Source organism: Homo sapiens, chromosome 5 (assembly GCF_000001405.40).
Source record: "Homo sapiens chromosome 5, GRCh38.p14 Primary Assembly".
Classification (NCBI taxonomy): Eukaryota; Metazoa; Chordata; class Mammalia; order Primates; family Hominidae; genus Homo; species Homo sapiens.
In genome coordinates this window covers 66,964,510-66,976,691 of record NC_000005.10, presented here as the reverse complement: position 1 = coordinate 66,976,691, position 12,182 = coordinate 66,964,510, and the positions used below count along the sequence as shown (strand labels likewise).

Sequence of the window (12,182 nt, the reverse complement as noted above, 5' to 3'; positions counted from 1 at the left end):
CCAGATCTCCCTCCTGAATGCTAGAGCCTACGGAATCCCTTCTATCTCCTGGTTCCCAGATGAGCCTGCAAAGACCTGTGCATTAAACACATTGTTCTTTTCTCCAAAGTTGTGGGCAGAGGGAGAGCATGAGATTACTTTCTCCATACTTCTGCTATCACACTTCAGTCAAGCTAGTTCCCTTTCTATTTCCCATACAAGTCCGAGAGCTCCCTGAGGGGAGGGATGGAATCCTTTTTAATCTTCATCTCCCCAGTATTGTGCTTGGCTCACAGAAGCAAAATGACTGTTTAGTAAACTAGAGAACAGGAAGGCCCAATCATATATGCAGAGGTGGCAGCAGTGCAGATCAAGAGGCCTGGAGCAGTTCACAGCAGGGCCTGCAGCAGAACTCTGATGGCTGCCAGGAAGAAGGAGTGAGCCTATCTGAGTGCGTTCCAGAAAGGGGTAATGCCTCGCAGGGCTGGAACCATCCAGTTCATCCCATGGCTTTTTCTTGGAGTCTCATGTTAGTGTTACCCACATGTACATGGTACATGCACATGGCAACAGCAGACGCAATGATCCCATGAGGTAAAGCTAAAATGTGCTGTCAACTACATGGCAAGGGATTCTCTTCTCCATGCACAGACAGACACATGGATACAATGCTCAGAGGCATCCAACACCTGGAAAGTTAAACAGCATTTTTTTTTAGATGGAGTCTAGCTCTGTCACCCTGGCTGGAGTGCAGTGGTGCAATCTTGGCTCACTGCAACCTCATCTGCCTCCTGGGTTCAAGCAATTTTCATGCCTCAGTCTCCTGAGTAGCTGGAATTACAGGTATGCACCACCAAGCCCAGCTAATTTTTGTATTTTTAGTAGAGAAGGGGGTTTCACCATATTGGCCAGGCTGGTCTTGAACTCCTGACCTCAGGTGATCCACCTGCTTCGGCCTCCCAAAGTGCTGGGATTACAGGCATGAGCCACCGTGCCCGGCCTAAACAGCATTTAAACAGGGAATACATCCCTGGACTGTGGGAAGCAGGACTGGTCATGTTCTGACTCTCTCACTATTTTTCTCCTTTAAGGATGCCCTTGTGTTTCTACCTTACACACACTTGTCCTTAATCTCTCCTGCCACAGTGGTCTGTCTTTTTTAAACTATCATGATGAGCACTCTGTGAGCACTGGTTCTAGTCACTAGGAGGAGGCAGGGGGCCACAGTGAAAGGCGCACTGGGCTCAGAGTTGGAAAAGCTGGTTTAAGTCACTGGGCTCCCTTACTCCTGGGCTCCTTCTTCTGTAACATGAACGTGAAAGTGCTCACCACACTGTCCTCACTTTGTCATTTCAGGGTCCCAGGAAAAACAAGAGAATGCAGTTTACCACTGCATTTGCTTCCTGCAGCAGCTGTAACAAATGACAGCAAACTTGTTGGCTTAAAACAATAGAGATATATTCTCCCAGTCTGGAGGCCAGAAATCTGAAATCAGTGTCAAAGGGCTGAAATCAAGATGTCAATAGGCCAGGCTCCCTGTGAGGCTCTCAGGGAGAATCTGCTCCTTGCATCTTCTGGCTTCTCTGTGGGCCAAATCCCCCTTGGCCTCTCTCACAAGGGCACTTATGATTGAATTTAGGAACTATTGAGATAATCCAGGATAATCCCCCCATCTCAAAATCCTTAAATTAATCACATCTGCAAAGACTCCTTTTTTCCTAAGTAAGGTAATGTTTACAGGTTTCAGAGGTTAGAACCTGATATCTTTGGGGCCACCATTCAGCCCATGACATACATCAGCTATATTAAGTGTTAATGCACAATTCCCAACCCATACTCTTAATTCTTATCATCTCAGCTAGAATAGAAATTCTCTGAAAATAAGAAACAACTCTTATACTTTGCAAATCCCATGAAAGCTTTCAAGGTATTATGTACAGAACAAATAGTTATTTTTTTCCATTTAGAAAATAAAACCCTTACTCTACTCAATTTTTAGTGGCCAGCATTAGATTCCATGGTAAAAAGTTCTAACATAGTCAAGTGTTTCATTTTTTATTTCTAAAATGGCCAAACCTTCTGTTCAGAGAAGCTGGAGACGAAGGAAATGCATCATAAAATGTTTCCACTGTCCGTGACAAGTGCCTTGCAGTGAGTGTCATTTGTAACGCGTTGTTAGTAATACTTCTGAATACTACCAGAACCCAAAGGCAGGAAAACTACTAGAAGCAAAATTGCAACGAACTCCAGACAAACATCTGTAAACCCCTTGCAGTCAGTCTGATTCATCTCAGTGTCATGAAATAGAAAAGCAGTGGCAGCTCATCTGGAAAAGCTTGATGTAGGCTCAAGGTGGGGATGAATTCGTTCATTCATTCATTTCTATAACAAGTAGTTGTTGAGGTCACATTATGTGCCAGATACTAGGGACTCAATGATAACCAAAATAGGCAAATCCCTTGTAATTTGTAGGTTTCATGCTAGTTGGGTAGGATAAATAAACAAATAAATAAATGTTATATATCAGGTGAGATATTCGCTATAAGAAACATCATGAAGCAGTCCAAAAGATGGTGGTGGTGTTCTCATAGAGTGGCCGGGGAAGGCCTTTGATACAGTAACATTTACTATAGATGCTAAGGAAGTGAAGGAGAGCGCCACTCAGGTATCATTTCAGTGTTCCTTTAGCTGCTCTGGACAGCTAGAACATCCTGTGCCAGAAAGTGAGGAGGTGCTCAAAGATTAATTGCATCATGTTAAAAGGACCCAGGAGCCAGCTTAAAGAGCTTCTGCTTCCCACTGATGAATTTTAGGACAACTTGACCAACAAAAAGAGGAATGCTGGTTATAGATTACTACACATCAAATATGTATTTGTCTTCCATTTTATTCTATAGAAAAATGTATGAGTCAATCTTCCTAAAAATGAAGGGAGAGAAAGGAGGGAATATTCTTCAACTGAAGAACACCAATTAATAGAAATAAACAACTGTGACAAACAGCAATGTAATAAATGATTTGAGCAAGGTCATCAATGAAAGCAAAAACCACTGGGTGAAATCTTGTTGTGAAGAGTATATTCATATGGACTAAAAATTTTACCCCAGAGATTACTTAATAAGGTAAAGGCATAGTCACCATAAAGGGAAAATCTGGCAGACACCAGCTTTTGGACTTCCTGGTGTGATGCTATGAGGAGGACATCATCACCTGTTCTTGGCAAATATGTTTAACCTGAATCTAAAGATGACAAAGCCATCAGATAAACTGAAATTGTGGGATGTTCAACAGAAAAGTTGTCTAGTACTGAGGGAAGAAGAAAGACAGTATAACTTTCTCAATTGAAGGAGACTAAAGAAAGAGATACAACAACTCAATGGAACATATGATCTTTAACTGGATTCTGACATAAAAAAAAAAAAACTTTCACAGACACATTTTTTGAAACAGCAGGAGAAAGCTGACATAGCCCATATAATGATGTTCAATTTTAACGCCATAATAATAATATAGTTATATAGGAGAATATACTTATTCTTAGGAGATACATGCTTAAGTATTTAGGGGTGAAGTGCCTGAATGTCTGCAAATTACTCTCAAATGGTCCAGGAGAAAAAAATGTTTAAATACATCTAGGGGCTAAGAGAGAAGGAAGGGGAGAAAGAGCAAATGTGGCAAGTGTTAACTGGTGAATCAAGATGAACATGGTCGTACAATTTTTTCAACTTTTTAAAAACAGGTTTGGGATTTAAAAAAAAGTTGAAGGGGTAGGAAGAGAGTATTTTAGAAACAGGGAATAATCAGCCCTGACACAGGAACATGCTTGAAGTGCTCAAGAAAAGGCAGAGTCCAATGAGGCTAGAGGGAATGAGTGAGACACGGCAGGAAGCCGGATCACGGAAGACAGTGGGCATCCACTGGAAGGTTCTGAGCAGGAGCAGCTCACACCCCACAAAAATCACTCTGAGAGCTGGATGGAGACTGATCATAGGAGGGCAAAGGTTGAACTAAAGCAGGAAGACATGCTAGAAGGCTACTACTACACAAATCTAGGGATAAATGGCAGCGGCTCAGACTAAGGTGGGATAGGAGAGGTGGTCAGCATCGCATATTGAGAAGGCAGAATCAACAGGACTTCCTAGTGGATGATGGCACATGCCCCCAAATCTACACATGTGCACACTGCAAAGATTTTTTAAAGGGAAGAATTACAGGTGGCTTTTGACTCAGAGCTTGATTAAAGTTGAGCCAAACTTGTATTTTATATAAAGAGGAGAGAAAAAAACAATACCACTGTGAGAAAGTAAATGTTCTTCTCAATGTGGGGTATCTCCATAATGTTTTATTAACTGGAGCCAGTAATGATTCAGCTAAGCAAACTGTCAGAGAAATAAGTAGAAAAGCCTAAGAATCCATGAAATTTAGCTCACGTCTTTTTCACCCGAGACTATTAGTACAGCTCTCCCAGTTTCATAATACCTCATCATTCACTATCACTTCAATTAGAATAGGCAACATCCTTGATACAAAGGTCAGGTTTTATAGTTCATTTTGAATGCTGGGTTGCAAGAATGGTATGACACTAATAATAACAAAACAGAACACTCTTCTTGGAACATTTCACATACATTGCCTAGTTAATTCTTACACCACCTCCAAGAGGCATTATTATCTATGTTACTGCTGGAGAAATGACTTTTTTTTTTAAAGTTTTCGCATTTGTATTACTCCTTTTACTGAGGCATCTCTGAGTTTCACATTATCATCACCATCTTATGCTCTCCAAGAAATCACAACTTAATTCTCATATCAACAGGGTGGGTGTTAATGGCTGTATCCATATTTTAAATGTTGGAAATAGGATTTTTAAAATGATGTGAAATGTGTTTTTCTCCTGTCACAAAGAAATGCCTTAACAAAATGGAACATAGGATATAACTTTCCCCAACACACACATACACATGCACCCACACACAGCAAAGTAAATTTTTATTCACCTCAAGAAGATCTACTAAAAAAAGATAACTGTTAAGCCTCCATAGAATAATTTCAATATATTCAAAAACAAAAATTTAATAAGTTACTTAAGTAAAGTAGTCACAATATGTGGCCCAGAAAAGACTACACAGTAATCAATCATCTTGAGCTGTGAGGCCCAAAGAAATGTTTAAGAGTAGATAGTATCAAGAAAGTGTCCGGGCTCCTTGCAAACGGGGTGAGGAATCCTTACTCAGGCCTGAAGAGGCTGGTTTCCTAAAAGGGCTCCCAGAGCCCTCTGAATAACACCGCAATGGTGAGAACACTGTCACCCCCAGGGAAGTAGCAGGCTGGCCCAGGCTGAGGGAACAAGGCACAGGCTGCTCAGACTGGAGTTGCTGGGGCCCACGGCCTGATTTCCAAAGCAAACCCAATTTAACCTTTTTTTGCATCACCTAGGCTCTGTCTAAAACAAAATTTTAAAAAAGTAATATCGGGCTCCACAAGTCAAAACATGCTCCTTATACCCATGAATGCACTCTTAACAGAGGACTAAAACATCTAGGGAACCAAGCAAGAAAGCTCCAGACACAGTAACAAATCCACCTGCCAGTAAATGGAATCTTACACTGTGAATGCAAATGAAAATGACCACAAATTGAAGTCCCGAAGAAATAGAGGCACAGGCTCTCCAACCAGATGCTTGAGCTTGAACCAGACCAGGTCACTTTCTAGACATTGGGAAGAGGGCATAATCTGTTGGTCAAACCTGGAGGTTTTGAAAGTGAAAGGGGAGTGCTTTTGAGCATCACACTGGAAAAAAAGGCATACATCAATCCGCATCTGGGCAAACTGAGATGTGTGGGCTCCATAGATAAATCTGTCTCTGTGCCTTAGTTTTAACATCTGTAAAATGAAGACAGTACCTGCCTCCCAGCCACAGGGTGAAAACTGTGTGAGTTAACATACGTGCAGCACTAAGAACAGTGCCAGGCATGTAGCAAGCTCCCATCAATGCTGGACACTAAGCCGCTGCACATGCAAATATCTAGCTTAGTAATTTCTGCCTTTAACTCAAGTCAGTAGACAAAACAGAAAAGTTAATGTGAAAAGGTGAGTGCATAGATAAAAAACACAAACCATCATGACAAACAACATGGCCCTGGAATGGCTGTCTGGGCCTGGAACATGTAGGTGTCTATACATGGATGAGTCAAGGCGCTGCAGAGACTCAGCTGTGCCAAGACCCCACGGACCTAAAAGCTCTGCTTGCCATCTGACCTCACAAGACTTCATCCCCTAGGTTCTGCAAGTTTATAGAAGATGAGCTTATAATACCCATTTTAAAAATACTATATTTCAGAAAAATCAAAGGAAACAACCTTTCTGCAGTAAGTTTATTATGCTTGCCCTTCCCCATTACTGCTACCCACTTGAAGTCTCCTACCCCACCCTGTCCTCCTCTGGAGCACCGCACACACATCCTCTTTCTTACTAAGCAAGGGAAGCCTCCAGGTGGTGGCACTGGCAGAAACCAGCAAGGGTAGGGTGGAGGGAAGTGCTAAGTGGCCTGTCCACACCACCCCAGTGACAGCTGAGACTGCCAATCTTCCTCATCTCTCCCCAGCCCCACACCCACAGGGCTGGCACCGTGTTCATAATCAGGCTCATCTCTGCTTGGCTGAGCCATTCCTAAGAGTGCCTGCATGACACAGATTTGATCCTATATGACAATTCAGAAATAAAATTCCAGGAATTCATTAAACCATCACATTCACAAAAGCACAGGAACTGGTGTCTGTAGAGTACAAAGAAATTACCATCTGGTACGAGCATCTTCAGATTTTTTCAATGTTCTCCACAAAGTGAAAGGCGGAAAAATAGAATAAAAAAGACAAATGGGACCTCTCATTGTAAAAAGCGAAAGAAACTAAAAGGGTTTAGTGGTTTAGCCGTCAGGTGACTTTCCCAGTCTTACAGGTTCCCTGTGAAAAGGAGACACAAAATCACAACATACTGCCATGTGTTTGGTAAATGCCTATGATGTCTGCCCCTCACCATGGCAACAAGTGAAGTGAGGGGGATTCAGGCAGCCATGGATACCCAGTAACCTTTCCAAGCAGCAACAGGACAAATAGGCCAGCTCTTGGCAAAATGGGACTAGGTGAGAATTACGCTGGATGCCCTCCCTGTTAAGGTGCTGTCTACCTTTCCTGCCCATCACTCTTAGGACCACCATATGCTCCATTCTTGCTCACAAAAAGTTATTGCACTAAAACCCCATAAGCTACTGTTCTTACATTGCCAGCGAGGTAGGGGATTCATAGATAAAGACAATGAGCGTTCAAGAAGTTTAACACTTGCCCAGGGTCACAAAGCTTACATGTGGTGAGGTCTGTGACCAAGACTCAGGCACCATAACTCCTAGTCTGTGAAGTACCAAACTCAAGTATCTCCAGGGCCACTTCAGGTACTGTGAATGAATGAAGCCAGCTAGGTGGGGTCTATGCTGAAATGGAGAATGGCAGCTCTAAAAGGTGCCGCAGGGACCCAGCCACAGACAGAATGTGGCTGCAAAGGAACACAGACTCACTGAAGGGCTTCGGGTTTGTAAAAGCAGCCCCCAATTCACAATTCTCTTATTGCTTCAAAGCACATTTAATGACAACTAAATAATTTATTTAGTACCTAGTTATTTAGTACCACATTATGCTACATGGGCTAGGGAGACAGCAGTATGTAAGATAGACAGGTCTTGCCCTCCAGAACTTACATTCTACTACTCCTCCTTAGAGTGACTTATCCTCTTCCGTGTGTAATCTGCCATGACTTCTGTATCATTTTCTCTGTCCCTCACCATAGCTAGGCATATCTGTTAATATAAGCTGGGGTCTAACTTTAATTAACAATGACTTTCTACTTTGTCCTAGATAATTGATATCTACTCAGTTTTTACATTTTGATGGCTATAACTTACTATTTATAGAAGAATAAAAAATAAGTCCTTTTTCTCAAGGTGCCAGCACTGCTCTCAAAACATACCTTCTATATAACTCGATCTCATGTTTAAGCACAGGTGAAAACATCAGAACAGGCTTGAGTCCCAGGGAATAATACATTCATTCATTAAATCAATATATATTTATGGGGCCTCTTCTACGTATGTCAGGAACTATTTTAGGTTTTGTGGATATATGTGTGAAAAAGTAGACAAAAATGGTTGTCCTTGTGGAGTTGATGGCACAGTGATAATATTCTTCTCTGGAAGTAGTACTATATCCTACCAGCAACATGGCATGTGTGTTTTCAGTCACAGCTGAAACAGGGAGAGAGAGATTTGGGAGATGGAAGGAGAAGAAACAGCATACCTTCTCTACTGCCAACTCTGGCATAGCTGACTGTGTGTTTATGACTCTGAGACTCCAGAAACCAAAGGGAGATGCAAAGAAAAAGATGGAAGAAGTAAAATACAAGGAACACAAGACATGCAGCCAGCAGGCTCTTGAGTGGTTATCATCCAGGAAGATGTTGGGGGATGAAGCAGAAGTACAAAAGAACATCACTACGGCATAATAGAAACTTGGCCACTGAGTAATGGTGTTCCAGCCTACAGCTACTTACTGGGTCCCTATTGATGGCAAGGCGTGCTCGGTGCCAAGAAAGCCACTGAGAATGTGAAATGAGATAGCTTCTTCTGGAATCTTGCTATCTAATCACAGTCCAGATTAGGAGCTGGCACGAGTCACATCTATATTACTCAGGAGGCACTGATGTCACCATTATACAAACAGCTCCTAAGTGGTAGCCAATTTATTAAGTACTGGGGGTCATGAGAAATTCTGAGTGGTTATGGTTGCCTCAGAAGGAGGAAAGCAAAGTTGTACATAAATTCCACTTAAGGTCTTGAAGATGCTCTCTGTCACACTGGTAACTAATAAACTGATATTTAGGGCCATATATATATATATATATTTAGTTTGTAGACAAAGTGTGTATTTTGCCTATTTCTCCAGCCCTGATGGAAGATGTTTTTCTTTTTTTTTTTTTTTTTAAGGAGTGTGAGATTTTCAAGATGGAAGGGCTTTTGAGAATAACGTAGTCTAATCCTCTGCTCAGTACAGGAATACAGTCTGCATCTTTCCAGCTCACTGGGTGCCTGGCCTTCCTGATGGTCTGATGAGGCAGCCCATTAAAAGTTCAGAAATCTTCCTTAGAAAATTCTTTCCTTCATACTGCGCCCAAATTTGTCTTACCACAACCTCCATATGGCAGTGCAAGGTCTTACTACCCAGACATACTAAACAAAACGTAAGTCCTATTTAGCAACTGAGCTGTCCTGGAAGCTGCAGATGTCTTATTTCTGGCCAACCTTCAGGAAGCCTGGCCTGGAGAAGCCCCTGGAGTTCCGCTGGAGATGGAGAGCTGACTCATGTCTCTGTACAGCCTGCCTCCAGGGTTTTACTATGAAAAGAATAGAATCTTCCATTGTCATATTTAGAAACTCTGTGTGTCATCACCTCAAAAGGGCACAGACACTGTGATACTCACCACCACCACTCTGTCCTAGACCTTTAAGCCCCACCATGAAAAAGGAATAAAGAACAAATCTGACCCATCACAATCAATGGTAGGAAAACAAAATCTGTGCAGGGATACAAAACATGCTTTTTCTGTGGTAACAGCATGAACATATTTGGAGTCTTGCAATTTATAATATTAGACCATCATTTTGGGGCACACTATCAGGGATACCCAATTCCAAGCTGCCAACCAGATATCTCTACCTACAACTTTCTCACTGTGTTTATGACCAGACTCATCATTACAACATTTTCCTCCCTCACCAACTCTGTTTTTTGGGGTTCAAGTCACTAATGCTAGAAATTGCAGTGTAAGTAAGTCAACTCATTGAAAATTATCTACTGAACACCTGCTATGGGGCACCTTTATTTCATCAACTTCTACAACAAAGATTGCTAACTATTTAACCAAACTTATTTCCTCCTTTTCCTGGGCACCAGCCAGCCATATTTCCCAGGCTTCCCTATTGTTAGATACAGTCAGAATACCACCTTCTAGGCCATGAAATGTGAATGGAAGTGATGTGTGCCACCTTCAGGTCTGTCAGTGCACCACCCTCCATGCTCTTTCCCTTTCCACCAGCTAAATGTTGATGCCCAAGGCATCCTTGAAGGCCATGGGTTAAAGATCCCCCTGGATCCCTTAATGACTCTATGGAGCAGATCCTCCTGCAAACCCTTCATCTATGAGTGAACAATGCAATTCCATTGTATTTGAGCCATTGTATATTTATTTGGTGGTTGGTATATTAGCAGCACTGTAACTAATACATCTTCTATTTCTTATTCACTCATTTATTCATTCTTTAATAAGCATTTTTTCAAACACTTAGTACATTCCATATACAGAGTGAGGCACTGGGGAAATAAAAATGACTAAAGAAGGTCACAAGGTCTACCTAAACCAGATAATTAAAACTCAATATAAATGATCTCAGAGCAACATGTGTATGTCTTAAGTTAGTCACAGTGGAAAGATTTGAGACTTCATTTTCAGTCCTAGGCTACTATTTAATCTCTGTATGGGTTAGCATTTTCATCTGTAATCAAAGGCAATATTCATTTCTGTCTCACGTAGTGTTGGGTGGATTAAATGGAATGAAACCATGTACATAAAACCAGTTGGCCAACTATAAAGAACTCTGCAAATTTTAATTTAGTTTATTGCAATTGTCCTACTCCCAGACCTGTTACTCATTATAGATTGTACTAGCATCCTCATTGGAGTTTCTGCCTAAAATACAATCTATTCTTAATATTGATAAGGTACGTTTCCTCAGTTTGAACTCAGATTGGTCATTTCCTTATTCAAAACATCTTCTGACTCCTGAACACTTACAAAATGAAAGTCAAACTTTTTAGCTTTAGTATTCAAGGCCTTACATAGCATGCATGCCCCCAAATTAATTTTCAAGTTTATATCAATCTCTATACAGTTCCAAACTTTTCTTCTATTTCACCTATCCTATGTCCTAGTGACACACATTATTTCTACCATATACTATGCTTTCTTACATCCTAGATTTTTTTTTCTCTGTCTGGTTTTATCCTTCACCGCCCCCCCCCCCGCCCCCACCAATCCCTCCCCACTGAACCTCCAATATTTTTCAAGGTCCAGCTCAAACGCAACCAGTTCCCTAAAACTTTTTCCCCAAAACACTCTTCAGAACCTCATCCTCCTCTGCACTACCTTAGCACTGAATCTAATTTTCTTTTCTCTTCTACTAATGATGCCATCTTCATATTGAATAGCCTATTGCCTTTAGGAAGAATAAAGAAAAGGAAATACAAGCATTGTATTTAATGAAAACATATTACACTAAAGAAAAAAAGTTCAGGACACAGTTCAATTTCTTGCAGTTGGATAACCAAAATGGACACATTAGAAGAGCAAAGGAATTCTCCAGATAGGGAAAAAAAAAAAAAAAAAGCAAAAAAAAAAAAAAAACTACTCTTATGTTTTAGGACCTATTAAATTCAGGGGATGCTGTATAAAAGCTATTACACAAAACTCTCATGTTGAAAGTCACTTTTACAATAATAAGTATAATCCCATCAGCAGAAGAGTAGAACTAAAGTTCCAAGTCATTAATTTGTTTCCCTAGTCGATTATTCTTTGCAGATTTCAGTTCGGCCTTACTTTAGAAATATGAAAGAAACAAATTTGTTAAATTGTCCCACTGATATCATCTAAAGCTTGTAAGTTAATATTTTTAAGGAAGTGGCCATAAGTGGCAAATTCGTCATTCATTTGCGTTTATGAAATAAAAAATATTCATAAAAAAATTTAAGTTGCCCTTTGCATCAACGGATAATTTGATTCTACTTTCTTCCACAGGATTTTTTCTTTTTTGAGACGGAGTCTCACTCTTTCGCCCAGGCTGGAGTGCAGTGGCCAGATCTCAGCTCACTGCAAGCTCCGCCTCCCGAGTTCACGCCATTCTCCCGCCTCAGCCTCCCATGGGGTAGCTGGGACTAAGGCGCCCACCACCACGCCCGGCTAATTTTTTGTATGTTTAATAGAGACGGGGTTTCACCGTGTTAGCCAGGATGGTCTCAATCTCCTGACTTCGTGATCTGCCCGCCTCGACCTCCCAAAGTGCTGGGATTACAGGCATGAGCCACCGTGCCCAGCCCCATAGGATT

At 41.3% G+C, this 12,182-nt stretch overlaps 1 protein-coding gene across 21 annotated transcripts in view; it reads right to left on the bottom strand.

Annotated features, from left to right (window-relative positions):
- MAST4 (microtubule associated serine/threonine kinase family member 4) overlaps positions 1 to 12,182 on the bottom strand; it is a 573,201-nt gene that overhangs the window by 192,902 nt on the left and 368,117 nt on the right. The gene's annotated exons all lie outside the window — the stretch shown is intronic.